Genomic DNA, 26,594 nt, shown 5'->3' with positions numbered 1-26,594 from the left:
ACCTAAGACACTTGTCAAATTAATTTTTATATACAGTGTAAAGTAGAAATCAGGTAGTTTGTTTTTTCTTTGTTTCTATGTGGATACTCAACTACTTCAGCATCATTTAGTTAAAGAATTGCCCTTTTCCTACTAAACTACCATTGAACCTTTGTTATAAACTGTGTGTGCATTTTTTTGGACTCTATTCTATTTCACAGATCTCTCTGTCTATATTTGTACTAACTACTATCTTAGTTACTGTAGTTTTATAGTAAATCTTGATATCAGAAAACATAAGTCTGCCAAGTTTGTTCATCTTCCTCAAGTTTGACTTGGTTATTTGAGATATGCCCATATAATTTTAGAATCAGTTTGTTAATTTCCATGAAAAAAATCCTGTTGAGGTTTGTAGTAGCTTGAGCGGTGGCCTCAAAAATGTGCCTGATCCCAATTCTCAGAACCTACAAATGTTAACTTATTTGGAAAAAGGGCCTTTGCAGATGTGATTAAGTCAAGGATCTTGAGGGAAGGAGATCATCCTGGATTATCCTGGTGGGCCCTGAATCCAGTGAAAAATATCCTTCTAATAGACAGGCAGATGGAGATTAATATTCAGGTCAAATATTTTCTAATTTTCATTTTGATATTCTGATATGCTGCCTAATTTCCAATCATGTGGGGATCTTCTGGCTATAGTTCTGTTTGATTTTAATTTTGTTGATTTTTAAATTAATTTCTCTTGTCATACTTTTAATGTTAGTCTTTTAAAATTTGTTCATACTTATGTTCTAACACTAATTTAGTCTATTATTTTAAATGTTCCCTTGAGTATTATAAAATAATATCTATTCTTCAACTCTTGGGTATAGGGTTTTAAATATTAATTAATTAAAAATTAAAATATTAAGTCCAGTTGGTTAATTATATTCTGTATATATTCTATATTCTTAGTATATTTTTATCTCTTCTATTAGATTTATAAATATATTTTATTATAATTTTCTGGTTATTATAAAGTTTAAAATATGTATCCTTGACTTATTACAATCTCCCTTCAATTAGAATGCTTACCATTTTTTGAATGATGTTAGAAATTTGAAAACATTTATCTCTATTTACTTACCACCTCCAGCCATGCTTTTTGATATCATGGACATATAATTTATTTCTCCTTATGTTAGAAAACAACAAGGCATAATCATTACCCTTGCTTTAAAAGTCACAGTCTTTTGTATTTCTCAAGTTTACCATTTCTGGTGCTCCTCCTTTCTTCCTGTGGCTTTATAGTTTCATCTGTTATTTCAACCTGAAAAAACTTCATTAGTAATTCTTATAGTGCAGGTCGATTGGCACACATTTTTTAGCTCTTTTGGGTGGTGGTGGGTGGGGAGGAATCTGAAAATAAGTTTAAACTGCTTCAATTTTGGAAAGATGTATACTAAGGAATTCGAATTATAAATTGGCAGGTTCTTTCCCATCTGGGCACTTTGCAGGTATTATTGCATTGTTTTCTAGGTTCCATTGTTTCACTTCAAAAGTCAGTCATAAGATTTAATGTTGAATTTTCAAAAATCAATCTCCAACTGCTTTTAAGATTTTTGTCTTTGTCTTTGGTTTTCAGCATTTGAATTTTGATGTGTCTGAGTGTTTTATTTTTTTCTAATTATCATTCTTGGTATTGTCTGAGCTTCTCAAATCTTGGATCAATAATGTTTTCATTAGTTTGGGAAAATTCTTAGCCATTATTCCTTCAAATACTACTTTTGCCCCATTCTCCTGCTCCTCTTATTTATTCTCTTTGCCTTGCATTATATATTTTTTATTTATCTATCTTCTCATGTTTTGTAAGTTTTTTTTCTAGGTAAGACATTGCTTATAAAGAATCGTAGAGGCTTCAGACTGTAATTTTCCCCCAAAAAGGTGTTCTTAATTTCTTTTGTTACACATTAATGATTTAGCTGCATTGGTCCAAAGTTGAAATTTTTATAAGAATTAGTCCACCTAAGGTTTGTCTCTTTCCTCAGACAGAGAATAGAAAACATCAGGAGACTTATATGAATTATAAATTTAGAGTAACCAGGTCTCTCTCACTGTTTCTGTTCAGCTATGAAAAAGGGATGTCAGCTAGGTCTGACATAACTAAGGGAAATTTAGTTATGTCCTACAGAAAAGTAAAGTAATGCCTTTTCATTTATAATCTTTAATATCAAATTCCTTATATGCATTTATTATAGGTAATTGTGATAATTTAATAAGCTAAGCACAGAGCTGGTCATATAGTAAATTCTCAAGAAATATGAACTTTTATTGTAGTTGATTATGGATATACTTCTTTCAATCTTCTATGGTTTTAGTGATTATTCCCTCAGAAAGATTTGTTGAGCTGAAATTTTCTTGCACTGGTGATAACATACAGGTGTAATTATGCTGACTATATGGATGGTTGCGCAAAGGGTGGTAAAGCTAAAGTTGATGTTTAAAGCTAATCCTAGTCTATAGCAGATTGTATGTTCTAAAGATGACTGCAACAGTATTCTCCATCTCATGTGCTTTTCCTGCAGTGCGACTTTGAATCTCTTTCTATTTAAGAGAGTTTTTGTGGCTTATTTAAACCAATACCTTAGGGCAAAAGTAATACACTGTGATTTCTGATGCTAAATCATAAAAGTTTATTCAATTTTGTTTGCTATTAGACCTATTAAACCTTTAAGCACATATAAACGGTCTGGCCTTACTTATGTTGCCATGCTTCACGCTAAGAAGTTAAAACTGTTCCACATGAAGAGATGACTTGAAAAGGTTCTGAGACTACATAAAGAGAGTGAGAAATGCTCATCTAGTCCCTAGCTGACTGAGGCCTGCATTGTTCTGTTCTAATTCTATATATTGGCTAAGTAACCTCATGAGAGACCTGGAGCCAAAACCACACTTCCAAGCTCTTCCAAATTCCTGATTCGTAGAAACTCTAAGACATAACAAAGTGAGAGTGGTTCTTTTAAGCCACTATGTTTTGGAGTGATTTGTTGTACAGCAATAGACAATCACAGTGAAGTTTTCTAAGATACTTTCTTTGCCCTTCCTTTTCCTTTCTTTTCTTTTTTTTTTCTTCTTCCATTTTCCTTTAGAAATAGTTGTTCTCTTCTAGTAGAGGGACAGTACACTGTCCTTCATGCAATCTTAACCTCTTGAACAATTCTCCTTTTCCCACATCAAGCCTAGACTTCCTCACATGCACTAAGATGGATGTGTGTCTCTGGGATTTTCAAGATAATTGGTTAACTAATCTAATAAACTAATTTACCCTAAAGACTTTCTGGTTATTGATGTTTTAATACATTTCTCCTCCTAGTGAAGCATTTAAATATAACTTTAAATAATCTAAATTGGTACCCAGAATAGATTGACTGGTGTTTGAATTTTAGATAGAGTGAAGATCTTTTGAGGGAAATATTTTTGAGAGTCAAAGGAGGAAGTATGGAATGTTGCAAAATATTCAGTGCCTGAAAAATCACGCTATGTGGACTCTGCCTATAGCCTATTCTTTCTTTTATCTTTGAGTAGTTAAAATAACTAGCACCATGTCATCTCATTTTGTTGTTGGTTCTTCATCTGAAAATATAGTTAATGGTCTTAATGTTTGCCAAGTATTCCAAATCCCTTGTATTAAAATAAAAATAATTTCAGGATATTATTGCTACTGCATAGGCTTCTATACAATGAGGTTCAAACCAAGTCTGTAAGCTTAGTTATGTTAGGAAATATATATATATATGATATGTATATATATCTATGTATGTATATTTATTTATATATGCATATATTAATATATAATATATGTATATATGTATATATGTATGTGTATATATACACTAATGTTAATCTGATTATCAAAATTTACTGAGCTGAAATTCTAAACTGTGAACTTCCACCAAACCATTGAAGCAATAGTTTCTAAGTTGAATTTTTTTTCTCTCCTGATACAGCATAGAACACACTCACATATTTTTCATGTTACTTATAGTCATCCTGTAAACTATGTCTGCAAAATGTTAATGAGATTTCTTCTTATCTGGGCCAGAGTCTAACATGTATGTGATTTCCCAAAGAGGACTATATAAGCCAAGTAATTTGTGTCACACAAATATTCTCTGGAGTATGTGAAGATAATATTCCAGTAGGCCCAAGGGACAATCCCAAAGGTGATTTTATTAGAGAGGATCTCCCAAAAGATGCCAGACATTTTCCTCCCTGTTCCTGAAAACCTTTACCCTACAGCTAAAAGAGAAATGCTGAACTAGGAACCAACATTTCACGAATCCCCACACTCTTTCTCTAAATTTGTGTCTTGATCACTGTACTTGTGAACAATCCAGTAAAGGTTTCTCTGGATTTCTAGCTGGCCTCACCTAGTTTCTCCTCTGTGCACTGATTTGTTTATTGGTTTTCAGATGTGATTCAGTCTCTCCATCTTAAAAATAAATAAAATGTAAATACACATGTACGTAACACTTTGCTTATACTACTTACACCTCAGGGTATACTTGTAGGTCTTTCTTTTGCTTTAATGTCAATCTTCTATTCATGAAATTTTTGGATTCAACTTTGATTTCTCCATTTGATTCTTATAAGTGTTCACTCCTTCACAGACCTATCTTTTTGTCTTCCAAATGTTCCTTTAACCTATCATTTTTTGTCGGGGGGGGGGGAATTCCCTAATGCTGTGCTTAAGAGAATAATATGACCCCCATAAGGTTAAAAAAAAAACCAAATAACCAATTGACTCAAGAGAATTATCAGATGTTACAGAAACTGCCACTAACCAAGCACTGGAAAAAAATATATATTTGTGTTTTTTTTTTTTGTCTTTTCTTTTGTATTCTTTTTTTATTCCTACTTTTTTTTAATTGCTGCAGCCACTTACACATCCTTGTCCATGCCCAACATATAAATGCAAGAATAAGCATGCATTTTACAGAAAAGGCATCATTACTACACTGTCTGCTTTCTATGTTGTATCAACTATATTTATAAACAATTCTGTACTGTGTGAAAAAAATTTGGGTCCATATTATCTCATTGAATTGTGGGCTCTTTCTGTATTTTTAATTGAACCATGTGAAGAGGAAATATGACAAGTTGACCCTCCATGCCAAAATTTTTGTTGGAGACGATCACATAGTGAATAAAGTTTTACTTTTTTTGAGAGGTTTAGCAACAATGGTAGCCCAGCTCAGGCAAAAGAAGGAATAAAATAACCAATTTCTTTTCATAATGTACCCAGAGCTTACATATGAAAAGGAATAATAAAACCAGAAAAATAAACTTTTAAATTTCTTCTTGATACTTCTTTAAAATATTGCAGTGACATTGTATGTAAAGAAGCTTATGTATGGTAGGATGTAAGTTATTCCTTCAGTAGTTTCGAGTATTTTCTAAAATGTTTTTATTATTTTATTCAGTGATAATATGACTAATTTCCTTTACTAAAAATTAAAGAGTTAGCATAATAGTAATTCCATTGTAATAAGAAAAAATATTTCTTGAAATCATATATGTTAAAAATGCCTCAAAGGCACAAAAGAAATTCCACAGCATGAAATTCTCAAATTTCAAAATGAGGATGCATGCATCTTACGTCTTACGCTGGAATTTTCATTCGCTAATCAATTATGCATAATTTCTATTCATCATGTTCACAGAAACATTTTTCCTGCAAATAGTGAGGCAGAGACCAGGATCTCCTAAGTTTACATAAATCAAATTTTGGCAATTATAAGGGATTTTGCTTGGTCTGAGACTGGTCTATGGGGTTTTGCCATAAAGTCTGTTCACAGCTAACAAAGGAATTTTTCGCTTGTAAATAATAGGCCAAATACAAGCCCCCATGAGCCTTTTCCATTATGTTTCTTTCTTGAGGCTGTTCATTCTGTTTTCTTTTTTCTATGGTTGGATTTGTTGCCATATAAAATAGCAGTTTCAAACATTCTTTGTGATGGGTAATCCTATTAGTTTGGAAAAATGATTTTCCTGAAATTTGGAAAACAGGATAATTTGCCTCTTGCCACTTTTCACATATGCCATTATTTGATCACAATACTCTTTTTAGTTGCCATAAAATAAGAAAGGCTCTATGTCTTTTTTAAAAAAAATGTTCTTTTATTCTAACTTGGAAGCCTAATTAGTCCAGATTGTATTAAAATGCCTTGTTTTTGCTGCTTTTGTCAGAGAAGAGTTAGAACATGATGCCTCTCTTGGTAGGTCACAGACTGAAGAGGCCTGACCCAGGGAATCAAATGTCTGACCTGGCCTGACCCTAACCTCTACTTAAAATCAAGTCTTTACTTTTATTTAAAAACAGAGGTATACTTTCCATGTATCTTTTTTTTCTCCTTGTCCCAGCTGCTAAGAAGTACTCGTGGCTATTCATCTGAGAGCTCAGGGTGGGAAATTACATTTTCCAATCTTCTCAGTTTGGAGAATGGGCTCTGGGCTTGATTTACTCATGTTTACTTAGGGAAAATGCGACTATATTGTCTAGAAATTTTATGTAAGAGAAAAGCAACCAGAAAAATTCAGAATTAGATGAATTGTGGGTTTTCCTTCCACTGCACATGAAACATAAGCAATCATTTATTTCAAATGAATACTTAACACTGAATTAAAAATTATTCCTGATTGTGTTTTAGCAATTAGATAAAACATTTGGCTGACATATTAAAAAATTACAGTGGCAAAACATTTAAAACAGTATCAATTTTCTGTTGGGAACATAGGAGGTTGGGTGAGCTCCTCTAATAATAATACCATTAATCACTCTATGGTTTTGTGCTCTCACTTCTTAGGCAAATGATCAATACCCTTAATTTTAGGCTGGCTTTTATTGTACGGCTCTGTGATTCTTTTTTTCTCTGTTTGTGTGGTTCTTACAGTAAATTTAATTTATGACTGTGTAGGGTGATATATCCTTAGGTCATATCCTGTAATCTTTCATGTGGGGAATTCCCACGGAGTTATTCTGTGAGATCTGATGGCAGACTCTTTTGCTTTTACTTTAAACATCTTTACTTTTTGGGGGGTTGGGGGTGTGGGAGGTTTGCTAATTCAGTGCATTCCAAATTATAATGTACAGAGCTTTTATTCATTCATTCAGTCATGTAATATAACTCTGCAGACTTGAGTAGCCACAGAGGTTCCTTCTTATTCTAAATTCAATAATTTGTACCTTTGAAAATAAAAACTCTTTAGGGCCTCACAAGCTCAAATTTTCCCACTGTCTAGCTCTCGTTATCATAGCTAGCTTATTTTAAGAAAAGAGCTAAGTTTTCTTTTGTAGTCAAATCTTACTAGTTGTGATACTCAGTGTAGTAGCCAAATGTCAGCCTTAATGGTAACACGGCTTTAATTTTTTAGAGTAAGGCACATTGTTGTATTGGCATTTTCAAATTCAAGTGCAGCAAACATAGTCAAGTGTAGTAAACATACCTCTTCAGCCTGTGATGCTTTTGCTATGTTGATTTAATCACAAACAGCAAAGAGAAACACACTAAAAATCTCTTTGAAAATGGAAGTGAGTTTCTAGAAATATATCAGAATAATGATTTATTTTTCAGTTGGTCTATGTGACGTAAGTTAAAATGCAAGTAAAAATTAAATCTAGATGCGCATGCCTTGATTTAAAATTATTGAAATGTTCAAAATTGAAAGGTTCTTCAATTTGTGAAGTACATGAGGTCTGAGCCATGTATAGGACAATTTAAAATTATACAAGCTCTCTAAACTTCCCAGAGTGCTTCAATTTGGACGTTATCAGGGTTCCAGGAATGTATAATGCATAGAAATTTGAGGCTGCTGAAAATACTCTTTTTTTTTTTTTTAAAGAGTTCTTCTCTTGTGTTCAGACATCTGGGCATGTGCAGACACTGAAGAATAAACTGATGTAAACTTGTTTGAGTGCTTCAATTTGTAAGTGATTCGAAGAGCCGCCCAAATCACTCAGCACATGTTCTAATGGTTAGAACTGCCACATTCAACAAGTAGAGGGAAAGATGAAACTAAATCTTCACCAAGAGAAAAAAGGCTAATGGCTCAGGAATTCAAACATTTTCAAAAATATTTTACAATATTTTAGGAAAGATGACTTGAAATATGGCAAAGACATTATTAAAGGAGAGAATTCAATTAAACTTTTTGTCAAGGCCTCCCTTATGTTAATTTCACACTGTGCTATTTGTGAACTATACTCAGGCAGTCTAATTGACTTACTGTCCCTTGAATGGCCCACATTTGACCATGTTGATGTCTTTTTGATCTGTTTGCTCTTGCTGGTAGCTCAATTCTGAAAATAGATTTCATTTTGCATGTCAAGTCACTTCTCTTACTGGTGGTTGCCTGGAGTGCTGTGTTGAGAATTCAGAAGTCACATTAGGCAGTAAAAGAGGGTCATAATTAACGTTGCCACCATGGACAATGGAATGACATTTGGGATCATAGAATTTTTGTTTTGTTTTGTTTTTGTTTTCCCTATTCATGTCTTGTTTTCCTTCAAGATTCTGTTCAGGTAAGACTCAAGATATCCCAAACATGTCTAATTGAAGTTTTTCAATATTACAGCCCTTGATCTTCATCAATACAGCATTTTTACCCCTTAAACTTTTAAATATTGAAAGAATGATTAAAATTTTAAAATTCAATTGATGGTTGTTTTATTTTCTGTTTCAAGAATGTCTCATATTAATAGATAATAATAGAGAATTTCTACATACACTGATATAATGGACCTTCCTGGTCTTATGTTTGCCCCTTCTTAGCTGTATGACTTTAGGAAAGTCACTTTACCTCATTGAATTCCATCAGCTTCATTTGTTGAGGAGTTAAATAAGGTCCTTTCCCACTCTGAGCTGTGAACTTCTAGTGATAAAAGTGGGATCAATGAGGCACCTATCCTTGGATACTGAAATGTCAGATTGAAACATAAAAATGGTAATATTCCTGAGTGAAGTGGATCCTCTCAGCATCCTGGAGAAACTTCCCTAGTCAAGTCTGGAATTTCTGAGCTATTGTTCCCAATAGTGGCAGGTGTTGGGCCAAATATTTGGCATAATTTTAGAGGCTGCATGGGAACTTTTAGTTCTTTTTCTAAATGGTCCCTGTCTATCAACTGGTGCTGATAATTGTTTAGGCTGGAACAAAAAATTTTATTTCCCAAATTAAAAGACAGGAATGCTGAATAGTAGAAAGAACAGATGTTTGAGGGGCAGAAAGACCTGAATCACTTCTCTATTACTCATCATTTTTATAAACTTTCACATGTTTCATAGAGTCTCTGAGCCCCAGTTTCCTCGTTTGTGAAATGGTAATAATAATATCTATTTCATAGATTTCTGGGAAGAAATAAATACGAAAATGTGCATAAATTGGTCTAGTACTATCGTGAACTGAATGTTTGTGTCCCCTAATTCACATGTTGAAGCCCTAACTGCCAATGTGATGGTTTAGGAGGTGGGGACTTTGGGAGGTAATTAGGTCATGAGGGTGAAGCCCTCATGAATGGGATTAGTGCCCCTACGAAAAGAGAAATGAGTTTTCTTTTGACTATGTGGGTATACAATGAGAAGTCAATCATCTAGAAACCAGGATGCCAGCCCTCCCCAGACTCTGGATCTTGGACTCCTCAGACTCTAGGACCATGAGAAATAAATTTCTGTTGTTTAAGTCACTCTGTCCTTGATAATTTGTTATATAGTAACCCAAATCAACTAAGACAAGCACCTAGTAGACTTTCAATGATTAATTCATTTCCTTTTCCTTCTTTCAATGAAAAGAATTTTGTTTTTCTACTATGTGTAGAAATTGTAGTCTGAAATTTAGAAATATGTGTGCAGAATTGGATTGGGGAAGGCTTTAAATGATGGGCAGTGGAGATTGACATCCAGGCAGTAATGAAAAGTCCTAAAAAACTCTGAACAAGAGAATGTTATGTTTACAGCTGTCTAAAGATTAAAGTTGGCAGAAGGATAGATGAACATGGCTAGTAGTAGCTAGGAGAAAGACATTGACAGCCTAAGGTTCTCATGTAGGCAAAAGTGCCCGTAGGGGTGGGGACAGTGGAATAGAGCAAGACAGGGAGGCAAGGGGGATCAATTGAGAGGTCAATTACCAGGACTTATACCTAATTAAATGAGTGAAGAAAAATGTCCATAGTAACCAGATTTTTAATTTTCTAGTAACTAGATCTCAAACCCCAGACAAATTGTTTAAATCTCTCTGAGTTTTAGCAAAACGTATAGCTACTGGCATCTGTAGCCCAGAGAGTATAAAATGGGGGAATTTAATGTGATCTCTTATTTTACTTTTAACTTGATAATTTTAATTGTATTCTACTTCCCCCATAATAAGTCACAGGGACCATTGTTAAATTTAATTAAGATATTTGATAAATATAATGTCACTGGCTGTAAGAAATGAGCATAAAGCTATAGGAAGTAAATTAGAAAGACAAAAAGACATGCTTACTTCATGAAAACATATGAGAATGAAAAGATCTAGTCATGCTTGTGGAGTAGACATAGTGTGCCAATACTCTGGAATATTGAACATCTACTTTGTTAACTGGATACACAGGGCAACTTCCCAGAGTTGATGTAAGCCTTGGGCCTGACCTCAAGGCATAAATCAGTGGTTCCCAGACTTTGAGATTTCATGGTCCACACAATTAAACAAAAAAAGCCATTCAAAATGAAGTGTCAACTTTTATTTTGTCAAGTACAAATTTTAAAAACCAAGTACAAAAAAACCTACCATCTCTTGATACCATTATTTAAATAAAAAGGAGTAAATTTAATGTCCAAGAGAGAAACAAAGGACAAAATCTCAGAACAAAAAAAAACTTTAATTTTAATCTGTTTAGCTTTATTAAAACCTCACTATGTCTGAGAAGTGACATCAGCAAGATGGTCTACTGGAAGCCCCTACTGCTCTTCCTCCCCACCATGAGAGCCAAAGCAATGAATGAACAACTATATTTTAGGGAAAATAACTAAGGGAGAGCACTGAAGTACATCTTAGGAGTAACAGAAATCCTGGTGAGCACAGAAACTCAGGATAACCACATAGAGAAGAGAACACCTGGCCTCCATCATTTCATCCCCCACTAGATATCAGCTGGGAACTAGAAGGAACTTCTCCCATGGAGAAAAGGTAAACGATAAGATCCCAGTAGCCACCATCAGCATCTGGGACAAATACAGCCCTCACCACTGGGGTCCCCTGCAGTCCTCACAGGCACTAAGCCCACCTGAGGGAGCTAACTGGAGCCCACACAGCTGTGCTGTCTCCACAAAAGGAGCTGATACTGTGCACTGCCCTCGGTGGTCCACGCAGCTACTATACTGCACCATCCTAGAACTAGGACTACCACTAGAGTGTGCCTTACTACAAGGGTGAGTGCTCAAGGCATATCTTCATTCCTGAGACCAAGCCACCACCAAACCATCCCCAGCTGGTGGCCCAACATCCCCAAGCTGAGCTATGACCAGCTGTCACCTCCTTCTCCATAGAGCCAAGAAGCAGTGGAGCTCCTCCACCTGTCTCCCCAGGCTTCAGTTGTAGCTGTACTCTGTTCCATAAGGCCAGAGCTGGGCCTGTACAACCCCTCCTGGGAAATAAGGCCCTGATGTAGCCCCTTTATCTACCCCTCACTGTTGCTGCTATGACTTACCCTCAGGGGACTGAGCTAAAGCTGTGCACTGCCTCTTAAGGAAACATTGCCTTGGCGGAACTGCTCCATATACCTCTCCCAGTCATTGCTGTGTTCTGCACCTGGGGACCAATGCTAAAGCTGTACAGTCCCCCTGGGGAATTGTTGCTTTGGCAGAATCACTACATTTACCTCTCCTAGTTGCGGTTATGCCCTGCTTCTAGGGGCCTGAGCTGAAGCTGTACTCTCTTTCCTGGGGAAACAGTGCCTTGGCAGAGTTGCTCCATATGCCCTTTCCAGTGTCTGCTGCACCCTTCCCCTAGGGGCCTGAGCTGAAGCTGCACACTGCCTTCCAAGGAAATGGTGGCTTGGCCCACCAAATAAACCTCCCAGCTGCTACTGCACCCTGCCTCACCTGTGCTGGAGCAGAAGCAATGCCAGAAAATGGAGAGATAGTGTTTTGGTTGCCCAGAATAGTCATGCCCCTCTGTTCCTGAGCCAAAGCAGCATCCCGATCCTGGGAAAACAGCACCATGGCATCCTAGAATAGTCATGTCTGCCCCTGTGCATAAGTTGAAACAGCACCCTATCTTCTAGGAAATGGTATCTTGGCTGTCCAAAGTGGTCATACACTCTGGTGTCTATGCTAAAGTGATACTCTATGTTCTTGAGAAATGGTTCCCGGACCACCCAGAACAGTTAAGTTTCCCAGGACTGAGCTAAACAGGCACATCATCCCCTGGGGAAATGGTGCCTTGTTTAAGCTGAGCAGATATGCATCCAAGAGCTGAGCTGAGCTAGTACCCTGTGTCTTAGGGAAACAGAAGAGTGGCTGAGCTGAGACACCCATTCTACAGGCCAAACAATTCTAATACCTTGCTTTCTCAGAGCTGGTCAGGTCCCCTAGAGTCTGAGCTGCTGAGACACTCCTCTCTGTGGGGAGTGGGGTAATCACTGTGCTGCTCCTTGCCTTACTCAGGCCCAAACAACAGCTGTGCTCTGCCATTCTAGTGTACTTGTTGCTCCTGCACCTAGCCTCACAGAACCCCACCATCCCAAGGTCCAGAGTCATTAAATGGTACCTCATTCTCGGGTACCCAAGTTGCCATTGAATCCTGTTGGCTGAGGTTTCCAAATTGCAGCCATATCATGCTCCCAAGCCCAAATTTCCAGAGCACCCTTTCTTCTCCAGAGTTGGGCCAGTGCTGTGCCCTGATCCACAAGGGTAAGATCACAGCTATAAACTGGCCCTCTGGGCCCAAGATTCTAGAGGTACCTCAGAGAGAGTTACAGATCTTGGCTCTGTAGGCAATCAACATTTAACTCTGCCACAGAAAACAAACCTGTACCACAAGACACAGGTGCCACAACAGGTTTGCAAGATCCTAAGCCTGGGATCCTGGCCCCACAACCATTCTGAGCACCAGTGTCTAGAATCCAGTGCCACTGCAGCTGCTTGTAGGCTGTGTGAAACCTCACACACACCAGTAGAGATCGTCTCAGCAAAGTCACCCCATTGTGAGGAAAATGAGAATAGAAAGACTGAAAAGTCTTGCCACTGAGGACTTTAACAACCTACACCAGCATCACGACTGCCACAAACTTCTAAAGCATAGACCTCTGAGGCACCCACAATTATTATTGCTGTTGAATGTAGCTCAAGATGCTGCATGGAGACTACACAACTGAATCTACCTGGTAAGAGTCACCACGCTTTTCCCACTTGGCACACTAAGACCCAAATGCAGGTGAAAGTCTTTTTCTACATAAACCACTCTAGAAAGTTTGTAAGAGGTGATTATGCCACCAGATGCATGGACATCGAAGTAAAATAGGAAGTAAATTAGAAAGACAAAAAGACGTGCTTACTTCATGAAAACACAGAAGGAAAAGGTCTAGTCATGCTTATGCCAGGACACAACATGAAGAAGCAAGGAAATACTATACCAAAGAAACACCATAACTCTCTAACAGCAGGCACCAATGAAAAAGAAACCTACGAATTTCTGGAAAATAAGTTCAAAATATTGATCTTAAGAAAACTCAATGAGATACAAAAATATACAGATAGGCAAGTCAACAAAACCAGAAAAACAATTTATGATATTAATGGGAAATTTAACAAAGAGGTAGATATAAAAAAAGAACCAAACAGAAATCTGCAATTGAGGAATTCAATGAATGAAATACAAAATAAGAGTGAAGAAAGCCTACAAGATGTACGAGATAACAGAAGGCAAACAACTGTTCATATTATGGGAGTTCAAAAAAGAGAAGAGATGGCAAAAGGCATAGAAAAATTTATTTAATGAAATAATAGGGCTGATGAGATATGGCCAGGTGGAACAGCTGTCACCTAGGACTGAGATGACTGGTGTACTCCTAACAGATCTTCAGAGGGAAGACACAGAAGCTGGGCTGAAGGGGGGAAAAGCTAGGAACCCTACATGGGGCTACTACACACCTGGACTCATTCCTGGCCCCCAGTGGCTCCAGGGGAATGGATGAGTTAGACTGGCAAAGTGCAACCTGCTCTTACCCTGGAACCGAAGCAGGAGAAGACCCCACGACCACCACCAACACTCAAATTGGCAGAGAGAGCTGCTCAGAGAAGTGGTAGAAGCAGCAAGCCAGCTGACATAGAGCCCAGAGGGTTTGGTGTGGGAACATCTGTAGTGGAACATAACCAAGGTTGGACATCCCCCTAGATTCAACTTGCTTCCACAAGAGACTTTAACCCTAGGGGAACTGTTGGTCCTGAACTCTTCAGGGCAATCATGCCCATCAGGCAGGGCTCATCCAGCCTGGGCACCCCTTGGTCTGCTGGCCTCTCCTGGGGCCCCAGCGTGGCCATGCCTCTTTGTAGGGCAGCCTCACATGCCCTGGGGGCCCCCATCACAGCTTCTGTGCTGGCAGACTATGCCTGACAGGCAGAGAGCTCCAGCGAGATGGCCCCCCACTGCCACTCACCAGACCACATGCTCCCTCCCCACACTGCAGTTTCCCACCAGGCTCACTAGAACTACCCACATTGCTTTGCTGTCACATGTCTGCATGGGCAGGTTCTGCTTTCATTGTCCCTCCTGCATGAATGTGCATGCACCCTGCCCTGCCACTGCTGCAATGGGAATGCAGTCTGCTCCCCTGCCTATTGGCAACTACCATTGCAGACAGAGCCTTGGTGGACACAAAGCTAGCCAGCCCTGTCCCCACCAGTACCCTGCTTTGTGCTAACACTGCCGTGGGAGTGAAACTAGGGGCAGAGAACCTGAGTGACCACTCCTGCTTGTGGCACACAGAGAAGGCTCACAGACCTGTGCCCACTAGTGCCTCATTCTGGAGCCAATGCCACCACCAGCATGATTGCACACACAGTAACCAGCTGGGCCCCCACCTACCCAGCTCCATTTCCTCTGCCACTGTGGTGATTGCCCACAGGGAGGCAGGCAGGCTGGCACCTGCTAGCACTCTGCTGCAGCTGATGAGTATGCACCCCACTGTGGTGTTACTATAGCTGCTGCAGGCACATGCGAATGAGGATGAATTCTGCTGTCACCACACAATGAAACACTTTGGCTGACACCACCTATTGGAGAGTAGTGACCAGTGGCCCAGGAGCACCTCAGCCCCTTACCCCTGGTGCAGCAGATTCCTAACCTTGAGAAGCCAGAGGACAAAGCTGGGGCCCAATACGAGTCTCCCAGAGTCAGAGCATGCAGTCCAGGAGCTGGGAACTGAATGTTGACTCCCAAAAATCTCACAGAAACAAACCCAGTTGGCTGAATCCACCTTATAACACAATCAAACCCTTGAGGTCATCAAATAGGATAAATTGGGTTCAGTGTATACTACTCGGGTGATGGGTGCACCAAAATCTCACAAATCACCACTTATGTAACCAAATACCACTTGTTCCCCCAAAATCTATTTGAAAAAAAAAATAAAAAAAGAAATCCAAAAGTCAGCAACCTTGAAGATTAAAGAAGATAAGCCCAAAACATGAGAAAGAAACAGTGTAAGAATGTTGACAAGTTGAAAATACAGGGTGCCTTCTTTCCTCCAGATGACTGCATCACCTCTCCAGCAAGGGTTCTAAACTAGGCTGAGATGCTTGAAATGACAGAAATAGAATTCAGAATATGGGTAGGTATAAAGATCACTGAGCTATAGGAGTACATTGAAACTCAATCCAAGGAAGCTAAGAATCATGATAAAACAAGGCAGGAGCTGACAGACAAAATAGCCAGTATAGAAAAGAATATAACCGACCTGATAGAGCTGAAAAACATACTACAGGAATTTCATAATGCAATTCAAGTGTTGATAGCAGAAAACAAAGCAGAGAAAAGACTCTCAGGGATTAGAGACTGGCTTTCTGAAATAAGTCAGACATGAATAGAGAATAAACAATGAAACAGAGTGAATAAAACCTCCCAAAAATATGGGATTATATAAAGAGACCAAATCTACAATTCATTGTTGTCCCTGAAAGAGATGAGAATGGAACGAACTTGGAAAACATATTTCAGGATATCATCCATGAGAATTTTTCCAACCTAGCTAGAGAGGCCAATATTCAAATTCAGGAAATGCAGAGAACCCCAGCAAAATACTTCACAAGCTCATCCCCAAGACACGTAATCATCAGATTCTCCAAGGTTAAAATGAAAGAAAAAATGTAAAGATGGCTAGAGAGAAAGGTCAGGCCACCCATAAAGGGAAGACCATCAGACTAACAGCAGTTCTTTCAGCAGAAGCTCTACAAGCAAGAAGAGACTGGGAGCCAGTATTCAACATCGTTAAAGAAAAGAATGTCCAACCCAGAATTTCATATTCAGCCAAACTAAGCTTCATAAGCAAAGGAGAAATACGATTCTTTGAAGATAAGCAATTGCTGAAGGAATTTGTTATAACCAGATCTGCCTTATAAGAGCTCCTGAAAAAAGCACTAAATATGGAAAGGAAAGACCGTTACTAGCCACTACAAAAACACATGGAAGTACACAGTCCAGTGACGCTATGAGGTGATCACACAAACAAGTCTGAAAAATAGCCAGCCAACATCATGATAACAAGATCAAATCCACACAAGTCAATACTAACCTTGAATGTAAATGGGCTAAATGCCCCAATTATAAGGCACAACCAAGACCCATTGGTGTGCTGTCTTCAAGAGATCCATCACACATCAAATGACACACACGCTCATAATAAAGGGATGGAGAAAAAAATCTACCAAGAAAATGGAAAACAGAAAAAATCAGGAATTACAATACTAGTTTCAACCAAAACAGACTTTAAACTAACAAAAATCAAAAAAAGGAAAAAGAGCATTACATAATAGTAAAGGGTTCAATTCAACAGGAAGACCTAACTGTCATAAATATATGCACCCAACACAAGAGCACCCAGATTCATAAAGCAAGTTCTTAAGAGACCTTCAAAGAGACTTAGGCTCCCACACAATAATAGTGGGGTACCTTAACACCTCCTAAAAATATTAGATCATCGAGACATAAAATTAATAAAGATATTGAGGACCTGAACTCAGATATTGAGGACCTGGATCAAATGGATTTGATGGACATCTACAGAACTCATCACCCCAAACCAATAGAATATACGCCCTTCTTACCATGACATGGCACATACTCTAAAATAAATCAGATAATTGGAAACAAAACTCTCCTCAGCAAATGCAAAAAACTAAAATTATAAATAATCTCTCAAGCCATAACACAAGAAAATTAGATATTAAGACTAAGAAATTCACTGAAAACCATACAATTACATGGAAATTAAATAACCTGCTTCTGAACAAATATTGGATAAATAATGAAACTAAGGCAGAAATCAAGAAGTTATTTGAAACCAGTGAGAACAAATACAACATATCAGAATCTCTGGGGCACAGCTAAGGCAGTGTTAAGAGGGAAATTTATATCACTAAGTGCCCATATAAAAAAGTTAAAAAGAGCTCAACTTAACAACCTAACATCAGAACTGAAAGAACTAGAGAAACAAGAGAAAACCAACCTCAAAGCTAGCAGAAGGCAAGAAATAACCAAATCAGAGCTGAACGGAAGGAGATAGAGACACGAAAAAACATTCAAAAGATGAATGAGTCCAGGAGTTGGTTTCTTGAAAAAAATTAATAAAAATAGAAATGCCACTAGCTAGACTAATAAAGAAGAAAAGAGAGAAGATCCAAATAAACACAATCAGAAACGACAATGGGGATATTACCACTAACCTCACATAAATACAAATAATCATCAAAAAATATTATGAACACCTCTGTACACATAAATTAGAAAATCTAGAAGAAACGGATAAACTCCTGGACACATATACCCTCCCAAGACTGAATCAGGAAGAAATAAAGTCTCTGAACAGACCCATATGAGCTCTGAAATTGAGTCAGCAATAAATAAGCCTACCAACGAAAAAAAGCCCAGGACCAGGCAGTTTCACAGCCGAAATCTACCAGATGTACAGTGAAGAGCTGGTACCATTCCTGATGAAACTATTCCAAAATATTGAGGAGGAGGGACTCCTCCCTAACTCATGCTATGAGGTCAGCATTATCCTGATATAAAAATCCAGCAGAGACACAACAATAAAAGAAAACTTCAGGCCAATATCCTTGAGAAACATCAATGCAAAAATCCTCAACAAATACTGGCAAACTGAATCCAGCAGCATATCAAAATGCTTATCCATCACAATCAAGCAGGCTTTATCCCTGGGATGCAAGGTTGGTTCAACATATGCAAATCAACAAGTGCGGTTTATCACATAAACAGAACTAGAGACAGAAACCACATGATTATCTCAATAGATGCAGAAAAGGCTTTTGATAAAATTCAACATCCATTCATATTAAAAACTCTCAATAAACTAGATATTGAAGGAACATACTCCAAAATAATAAGAGTCATCTATGACAAACTCATAACCAACATTATACTGAATGGGTAAATGCTGGATGCTTTCCCCTTGAAAACCAACATAAGACAAGGATACCCCCTCTCACCACTTCTATTCAAAATAGTATTAGAAGTCCTGACCAAGGCAATCAGGCAAGAGAAAGAAATAAAGGGCATCCAAATAGGAAAAGAGGAAGTCAAACTATCCCTGTTTGTGACATGATTGTATATCTAGAAAACCCCATAGTCTTGGCCCAAAAGCTCCTTCAGCTGATAAGCAACCTCAGCAGTCTTAGGATACAAAATCAGTATGCAAAAATCACTATCACTCCTATACACCAACATCAGTCAAGCGAAGAGCCAAATCAGGAATGCAATTCCATTCACAATTGCCACAAAAATTTGCATATCTAGGAATACAGCTTACCAAACGGTGAAAGATTTCTGCAAAGAGAACTACAAATCACTGCTCAAAGAAATCAGAGATAACACAACAAATGGAAAACTATCCGTGCTCATGGATAGGAAGAATCAATATTGTTAAAATGGCCATGCTGTCCAAAGCAATTTTTAGATTCAATGCTTTTCCTATTAAACTCCAATAACATACTTCCCATAACTAGAAATAACTATTTCAAAATCCATAAGGAACCAAAAAGGGCCCGAATAACTATGGCAATTCTAAGCAAAAAGAACAAAGCTGGAGGCATCATGGTACCCAACTTCAAACTATACTAAAGGGCTACAGTAACCAAACCAGCATGGTACTGGTACAAGAAGAGACACATAGATCATGGAACAGAATAGAGAACCCAGAAATAAGACCACACATTTACAACTATCTTGTCTTTGACAAAGCTGACCAAAATAAGAAATGGAGAAAGGATTGCCTATTTAATAAACGGTGCTGGGATAACTGGCTAGCCGTATGCAGAAGATTGAAACTGGACACCTTTGATACACCGTATACAAAAAGTAACTCAAGGTGGATTAAAGACTTAAATGTAAAACCCCAAACTATAAAAAATCTGGAAGACAACCTAGGCAATACCATTCTGGACCTAGGAATGGGCAAAGGTTTCATGATAAAGACTTCAAAAGCAATCGCAACAAAAGCAAAAAAAAAATGACAAATAGGATCTAATTAAGCTAAAGAGCTTCTACACAGCAAAAGAAATGATCAACAGAGTAAAAAGACAACATACAGAATGAGAGAACATTTCTGCAAACTAGGCTTTGACAAAGGCCTAATATTCAGCATCTATAAGGAGCTTAAACAAATTTACAAGAAAAAAACAACCCCTCTAAACTGTGGGCAAAGGACATGAATAAAATATATAACACACATGAACAAAATATGTAACATAAATATAACACACCAGAATGTCCCAGACATTGTCAAATATCTTTGCTGAAGAACGAATAATAGAAGGCATTAGTAATTTGCATTTCAAAATATTACTATTTAGATAAACCAATGTATCTGTGAGAGTTACAAAACCCGTACCTTTGTCCCTGAACTCACTTCAAAGAGCCAGCCACTCATTTCTAGTACTTCTCAACCTAGTGTTTCCGCTCTGCCTTCAATTTCTTGTCTTTTTCATATTCAGCCCATCCTCCACATTGTCACCAAACTAATCTTCCTATCATATTTGTTTGATAATTTCAACCCCTACTTAGACATATTTAATGTCTTCTAGGTTTTAGAGGATAAAAGCCAAAGTTCTTAACCTCATGTTGAATAGCCTCTAAATGCTGGCCTCAGTGCAACTTTCTAGCCCTCTCTCTTGCCTATCAAAAGTTTACCTGCACCTTTACATTTTTCTTAAAATTCTTAAAGTGATTTATCATGCTTTCATTTTATATTCATATTTTTCCTTTTTACTCTCTCTCTGCCCATCCCTCACACCAACATCACCCATACCTGAATACAGCATATATTCTAGGTTCTTTATTGCTATTTTGAATTATTATTTAGATAGTGAACTTTTCACATGTTCATATCTTATCTATACAGTGAGATTTTAATCTTTGAGGTACTAAAAACACAATCAATCGAAGTAACTCCCACATTGTCCATATAAAACACCGCCTCCTATTTCTGACATTGGAATGTATGTGACTCTTAACAAATTAATGTAAGACACTTTATTTTTTAAAATGGTCATGGAATAGAACTATCCTTATAAGATTTATTTTTCCAAGTTCAGTTATTATTGCTTTTCAAAATATTTGGCCGGGCACAGTGGCTCACGCTTGTAATCCCAGCACTTTGGGAAGCCAAGGCGGGTGGATCACTTGAGGTCAGGAGTTCGAGACAGCCTGGCCAACATGGTGAAACTTCGTCTCTACTCAAAATACAAAAATTAGACAGGCGTGGTGGTGCATGCCTGTAATCCCAGCTACTCAGGAGGCTGAGGCACAAGAATCACTCAAACCCAGGATGCGGAGGTTGCAGTGAGCCGAGATTACACCACTGTACTCCAGCCTGGGTGATAGAGTGTGATTCCATCTCTCTCTCTCTCTCTCTCTCTCTCTCTCTCTCTCTCTCTATATATATATATATATATATATATATATATATATGATTAAATAAATAAATATATAATAAATCAAATAAATAAGTAAATATATATATATTTGATCTGTTCTATGTCAGGAAAAGCTATGAGGCTATGAGCTGAGTACTCAGAGCATTAAAAAACCTGAGCTTCTTTGACAACTATACTTTGAATAATTTGCTACCTGAGGCAAAACAACATATCAAATTCAGACAATCATTCAGATATGAGTGATATTCCCAAAGCATAATCATAGAAAACAAAATGAAAACTTTTAGGCCAGTCATACCTGGACTTATATCCTGGCTCTGCCGCTTATTAGTTTTGTGATCACAAATTATTAAAATCTCAGATCCTATCCTTCATATGTAAAATTAGAATAATGATTATTTGTTAAAACTTTATTAACATATGCTTTTATATATTAATACATACATATAAATATGCATTAAATATACTATTATATATACTTGTGTAATCTTGTGCAATTTCTTGCATATAGAGAACATTCAATAAATGATAACCATTATTAAGTAGTGCTGATATTTTCGTATGTATTTTAAATATTTGAATAAGTAAAACTAGGGTTAGTCACATCTTTCTTCTTAGGCCGTTTAATCCAGTTAACCTCTCAGGACATATAGAATCCACATAGAATCATATAGAAAACCTGTACTTTTGCCTCTGAACTCACTTCAAAGGGTAAGCCACTCATTTTTAACACCCAGTCTAGTTTTTCTACTCTATCTTCACTTCCCTGTCTTTTCCATATTTAGTACATCCTCTACATTGTCACTATACTAATCTTCCTACCATACATGGAACTGTTTATTTCAAAGAAATAGATTGGTAAGTAGCCAACACTATCAGTTCAGTTACTATCACATTTATCCAAGTCACTGTCAAGCAATTCAGCCATGGCAATCTGCAGTAATAGTCAAGATGGTTGAAGGTATGACATAATGCATTTTGGAATATTTGTTTGGAAAAGGTCATAGTAAATGGAGGAAATTGATTAAATAATGCATTTAACTAGTATATTATACACACTGAACAAGGCCGTTATGTTTAATGTGTGTGTGTGTTTAAATGTGTTTGTTCTATTATAGCAAATAATTTAACAGGAATATAAATTATGGCTTGAGTTTAAACTGCATATGATAGAAACATTTTTGGAAGGTAACATTGAATGAAGTTAGTTTGATTTCATTTTCAATTTAGGGTATTATATAGTTTGGTAGTGTTTTAGAGTCTGGCAGGAATTAGCTCTGGTAACATGAATTAAGAGTCAAAACACAAAGACTTCTGGTAATAATTTAGACAATGATTAGATGTAAAACCTTGGATAAATTAGCATGATTTTTAGTTCTGGTATCTATAGAACAAGGAGACTGACCTCTCAAGAATTTTTTTAGTTTCAGATTCCTCACATGCACTCCAAGTAGGCAAAGGGAAGAATGATTAGTTAATAGATGAATCAATGAGTGATTGCATAAATGGATAGAAATCATATAGAAAGACTGCTTTCTTCACATATAGACAATAGTCAAGAGAACTATTAGGATAATGTCAGCCTGATGTGCTCCCACAGCAAAGCTATTGCATATATATCTAGAAGCTGCAAGTTTTAGGGATGTACTGGGGAGATATCATGGTCCCTTGGATCATATCCAGAATTGGGTTTATATACTTTTAGCTGGTTCTGCAGGAAAGAGGTCCTTCATAAAGGAGTGTAAATTAGTTCAACCATTGTGGAAGACAGTGTGGTGATTCCTCAAGGATCTAGAACTAGAAATGCCATTTGACCCAACAATCCCATTACTGGATATGTACAAAGCATTATAAATCATTCTACTATGAAGACACATGCACATGTTTATTGTAGCACTATTCACAATAGCAAAGACTTGGAACCAACCCAAATGTCCATCAATGATAGACTGGATTAAAAAAAATGTGGCACATATACACCATGAAATACTATGCAGCCATAAAAAAGGATTAGTTCATGTCCTTTGCGGGGACATGGATGAAGCTGGAAACTATCATTCTCAGCAAACTATCACAAGAACAGAAAACCAAACACAGCATGTTCTCACTCATAAGTGGGAGCTGAACAATGAGAACACATGGACAAAGGGAGGGGAACATTACACACCTGGACCTGTCAGAGGTGGGGAGCTAGGGGAGGGATAGCATTAGGAGAAATACCTAAAGTAGGTGATGGGTTGATGGGTGCAGCATACCACCATGGCACGTATATATCTATGTAATAAAACTGCACATTTTGCACATGTACCCCAGAACTTAAAGTATAATAATAATAAGAAGAAGAGAGTGATCAATGGTCCTGTTGTGTTGATGAGCTTGGCGACACATTCTTGATTTCAAATTATTTATATATAAGGTCTAGAATTGTACCCAATTTCTCTTAGCTATTGTGAAAGACATGAAGATGTACCTCTCAGATTCCCCTTCAGGGAAGGAATTGCTGCCCAGCTGTGGTCAGCAGACAGCCTCCATATGTCAGATGTTTTAGAACCTGCCTCTGCTGCAGAGAGCCACCCTCCCACTTCCCCTGCTCCCCCTCCCACCCACACCAGGCCACATTCTTCCCTGGGATGCCTGAATCTGACGACTGGGCAAGAGGGGAATATGGTGGGACATTTCAGCCCAACATGGACACACTAAAGCACAATACAGTACACCTTTGAATAATATGGGACTGCAGCTCCACTTGTATGCAGACTTTTTTCAAAACATATATTAGAAAATTTTTTGCAACAATTTGAAAAACTAACAGACAAACCACATAGCCTAGAACTATTGAAATCATGAAGAAAAAATAGGTATGTCATGAATGTAGAAAATAGATGTAGATACTAGTTTATTTTATAACTTACTGTCATAAAATATACAAATATCTATTACAAAAGTTAAAATTTGTCAAAACTCACACACAAGCACTTTTAGATCATACATGGTGACATTTGCTGTACCCAGAAATAGAAACAAACATGAAAATGCAGTATTACATTATAACCACATAAAATGAATTGTAGCATATACTGTACTGCTGTAACAATTTTGGAGCCACCTCCTATTGCTATTACAGTGATCCTAAGTGTTGATAGTATCTGCTTAAAACATGTGATGCTAATCATCACCTCATCAGCAGTTCATCTCTCAAATTGTATATCACAGTGAAAAGTGATCTCTCACAGTTCTGGCACATTTTTCAACATGTTTAATGCAATATTGTACACTTTAAGTAATACCATAGAATCCATACAAATTGCCACTAGTGATGCTGGAAGTGCTCTCAAGAAACAGAGATAAGTCATAACATTACAAGAAAAGGTTGATTGCTTCCTATGTGCTGTAGATTGAGATCGGCAGCTGCAGTTTGCCCCCCATTTCAAGATAAATGAATCCAGTGTAAGGACCTCTTAAAAAAAAAGAAAAGAAAATTGATGAAGCCAGTGTTACAGCTATGCCAGCAGACAAAATACCTTGCACTTTTTGTGAAATACCTTTTGTTCTTGCATTGAAAATGCAGCTTTTATGTGGGTGAAGGATTGTTATAAGAAAGGTATACCTATAGATTCTAATATAATTTGAGAAAAAGTGATGTCGTTACATGACAACTTAAAAGGATCTAAAGCTGGAGAATTTAACACCAGGTAAGGATGGTTCGATAATTTTAGAAAGAGATTGGGCTTAAAAAATATCAAGATAACAGGAGAAGCAGCTTCTGCTGACCAAGAGGCAGCAGATGAATTTCCAGATACCATTAAGAAAATAATCCAGGAGAAAGGATATCTGCCTGAACAGGTTTTTAATGTAGCTTGAAAATGCTCTATTCTGGAAAAAAAAAAAAAAGCCACAGAGGTCATTTATTAATAAGGAAAAGAAGTGAGCTCCAGGATTTAAGGCAGGAAGGGATAGGCTAACTCTCCTGTTTTGTGCAAATGCAATTGGGTTTATGATCAGGACTGCCCTTACCTACAAAGCTAGTAACCCCTGAGCAGTAAAGGGAAAAGTTAAATAACAGCTGCCAGTATTTGGTTGCATAACAAGAAGGCCTGGACCAGAAGAACCCTTTTTCTGGATTTGTTCCATCAGTGCTTTCTTCCTGAAGTCAAAAAGTTATTGGCCAGCAAGGGACTGCCCTTTACATTCCTTTTTGGTATTAGACAATGCCCCTGGACCCCTAGAATCTGAAGAGTTCAACATTAAAGGCATTGAAGTGGTGTGCTTTCCCCCAAACACAATACCTCCAATTCAGCTTCTAGATCAGGGGGTCATAAGGACCTTGAAGGCTCATTACACATGATCTTCTATGTCTTCAACACATTGGAGGGGACCTTGGTAGAGAGAACATCATAAAAATCTGGAAGGATTACACCATTGAATTTATCAAGGTTGTTAGAGAAAAAGCTGTGAAAACCATCAAGCCCCAAACAATACACTCCTGTTGGAGAAAACTGTGTTCATATGTTGTGCATGATTTCACAGAATCTACAATTGAGCCAATCAAGGAAATCATGAAAGAGATGGTGAAAATGGCAAAAAAAAAAAAAAAAAAAAAAAAGAAAAAAAAGTTTGGGAGTGAAAGATTTCAAGATAGGTATCTTGGAGAAATTTAAGAACTAATAGATACTACATCAGAGGAATTAACAGAAGATGACTTGATGGAAATGAGTTGCAGGCAATGAGAAATAAGGTTTAGAAGAAGCAGTGCCAGAAAACAAATTGACAGGAGACAGTCTGGTAGAAGGGTTCCAATTATTCGAGGCTGGTTTTTTTTGTTTTTGTTTGTTTGTTTGTTTGAGACGGAGTCTCGCTCTGTCACCCAGGCTGGAGTGCAGTGGCGGGATCTCAGCCCACTGCAAGCTCTGCCTCCTGGGTTCATGCCATTCTCTTGCCTCAGCCTCCCGAGTAGCTGGGACTACAGGCATCCGCCACCACGCCTGGCTAATTTTTTTGTATTTTTAGTAGAGACATGGTTTCACTGTGTTAGGCAGGATGGTCTCAAACTCCTGACCTTTTGATCCACCCCCCACCCCACGCCCCGGCCTCCCAAAGTGCTGGGATTACAGGCGTGAGCCACCGTGCCTGGCCTCAAGGCTGGTTTTGCCTTCATTTATGACGTGAACCCATCTAAGACGCAAGCACTGAAACTACGGCAAATGGTGGAAGAAAAATTGGTACTGTATAGAAACATATTTAAAGAAATGAAAAAGCAAAAAATGTTAGAAATTACCAAGTGTTTCTAGAAGTTACATCGAGTAACTTGTCTCTCCTGTTTCCCCTTCCATCTTCTGCATCTCTGCCACCTTTGCCACCCCAAGACAGCAAGACCACCTCCTCCTCCTTATCTCTCCTCCTCAGCCAACTCCATGTGAATATGACCAGGATGAAGAC

At 37.7% G+C, this 26,594-nt stretch overlaps 1 long non-coding RNA gene across 1 annotated transcript in view, besides 1 other annotated feature; it reads right to left on the bottom strand.

The window, feature by feature from the left end:
• LINC02789 (long intergenic non-protein coding RNA 2789) overlaps window positions 1–26,594 on the bottom strand; it is a 244,710-nt gene that overhangs the window by 159,952 nt on the left and 58,164 nt on the right. The gene's annotated exons all lie outside the window — the stretch shown is intronic.
• Window positions 14,089–14,803: an enhancer, noted in NCBI's record as "H3K4me1 hESC enhancer chr1:199187681-199188395 (GRCh37/hg19 assembly coordinates)". NCBI's record gives its function as "activates a minimal SCP1, AML or CMV promoter by ChIP-STARR-seq in primed H9 embryonic stem cells {active_cell/tissue: H9 hESC(primed)}" and the evidence as "EXISTENCE:reporter gene assay evidence [ECO:0000049][PMID:30033119]".

This window comes from Homo sapiens, chromosome 1 (assembly GCF_000001405.40).
Source record: "Homo sapiens chromosome 1, GRCh38.p14 Primary Assembly".
NCBI lineage: Eukaryota > Metazoa > Chordata > Mammalia > Primates > Hominidae > Homo > Homo sapiens.
This window is presented reverse-complemented; position numbering and strand designations above follow the sequence as displayed.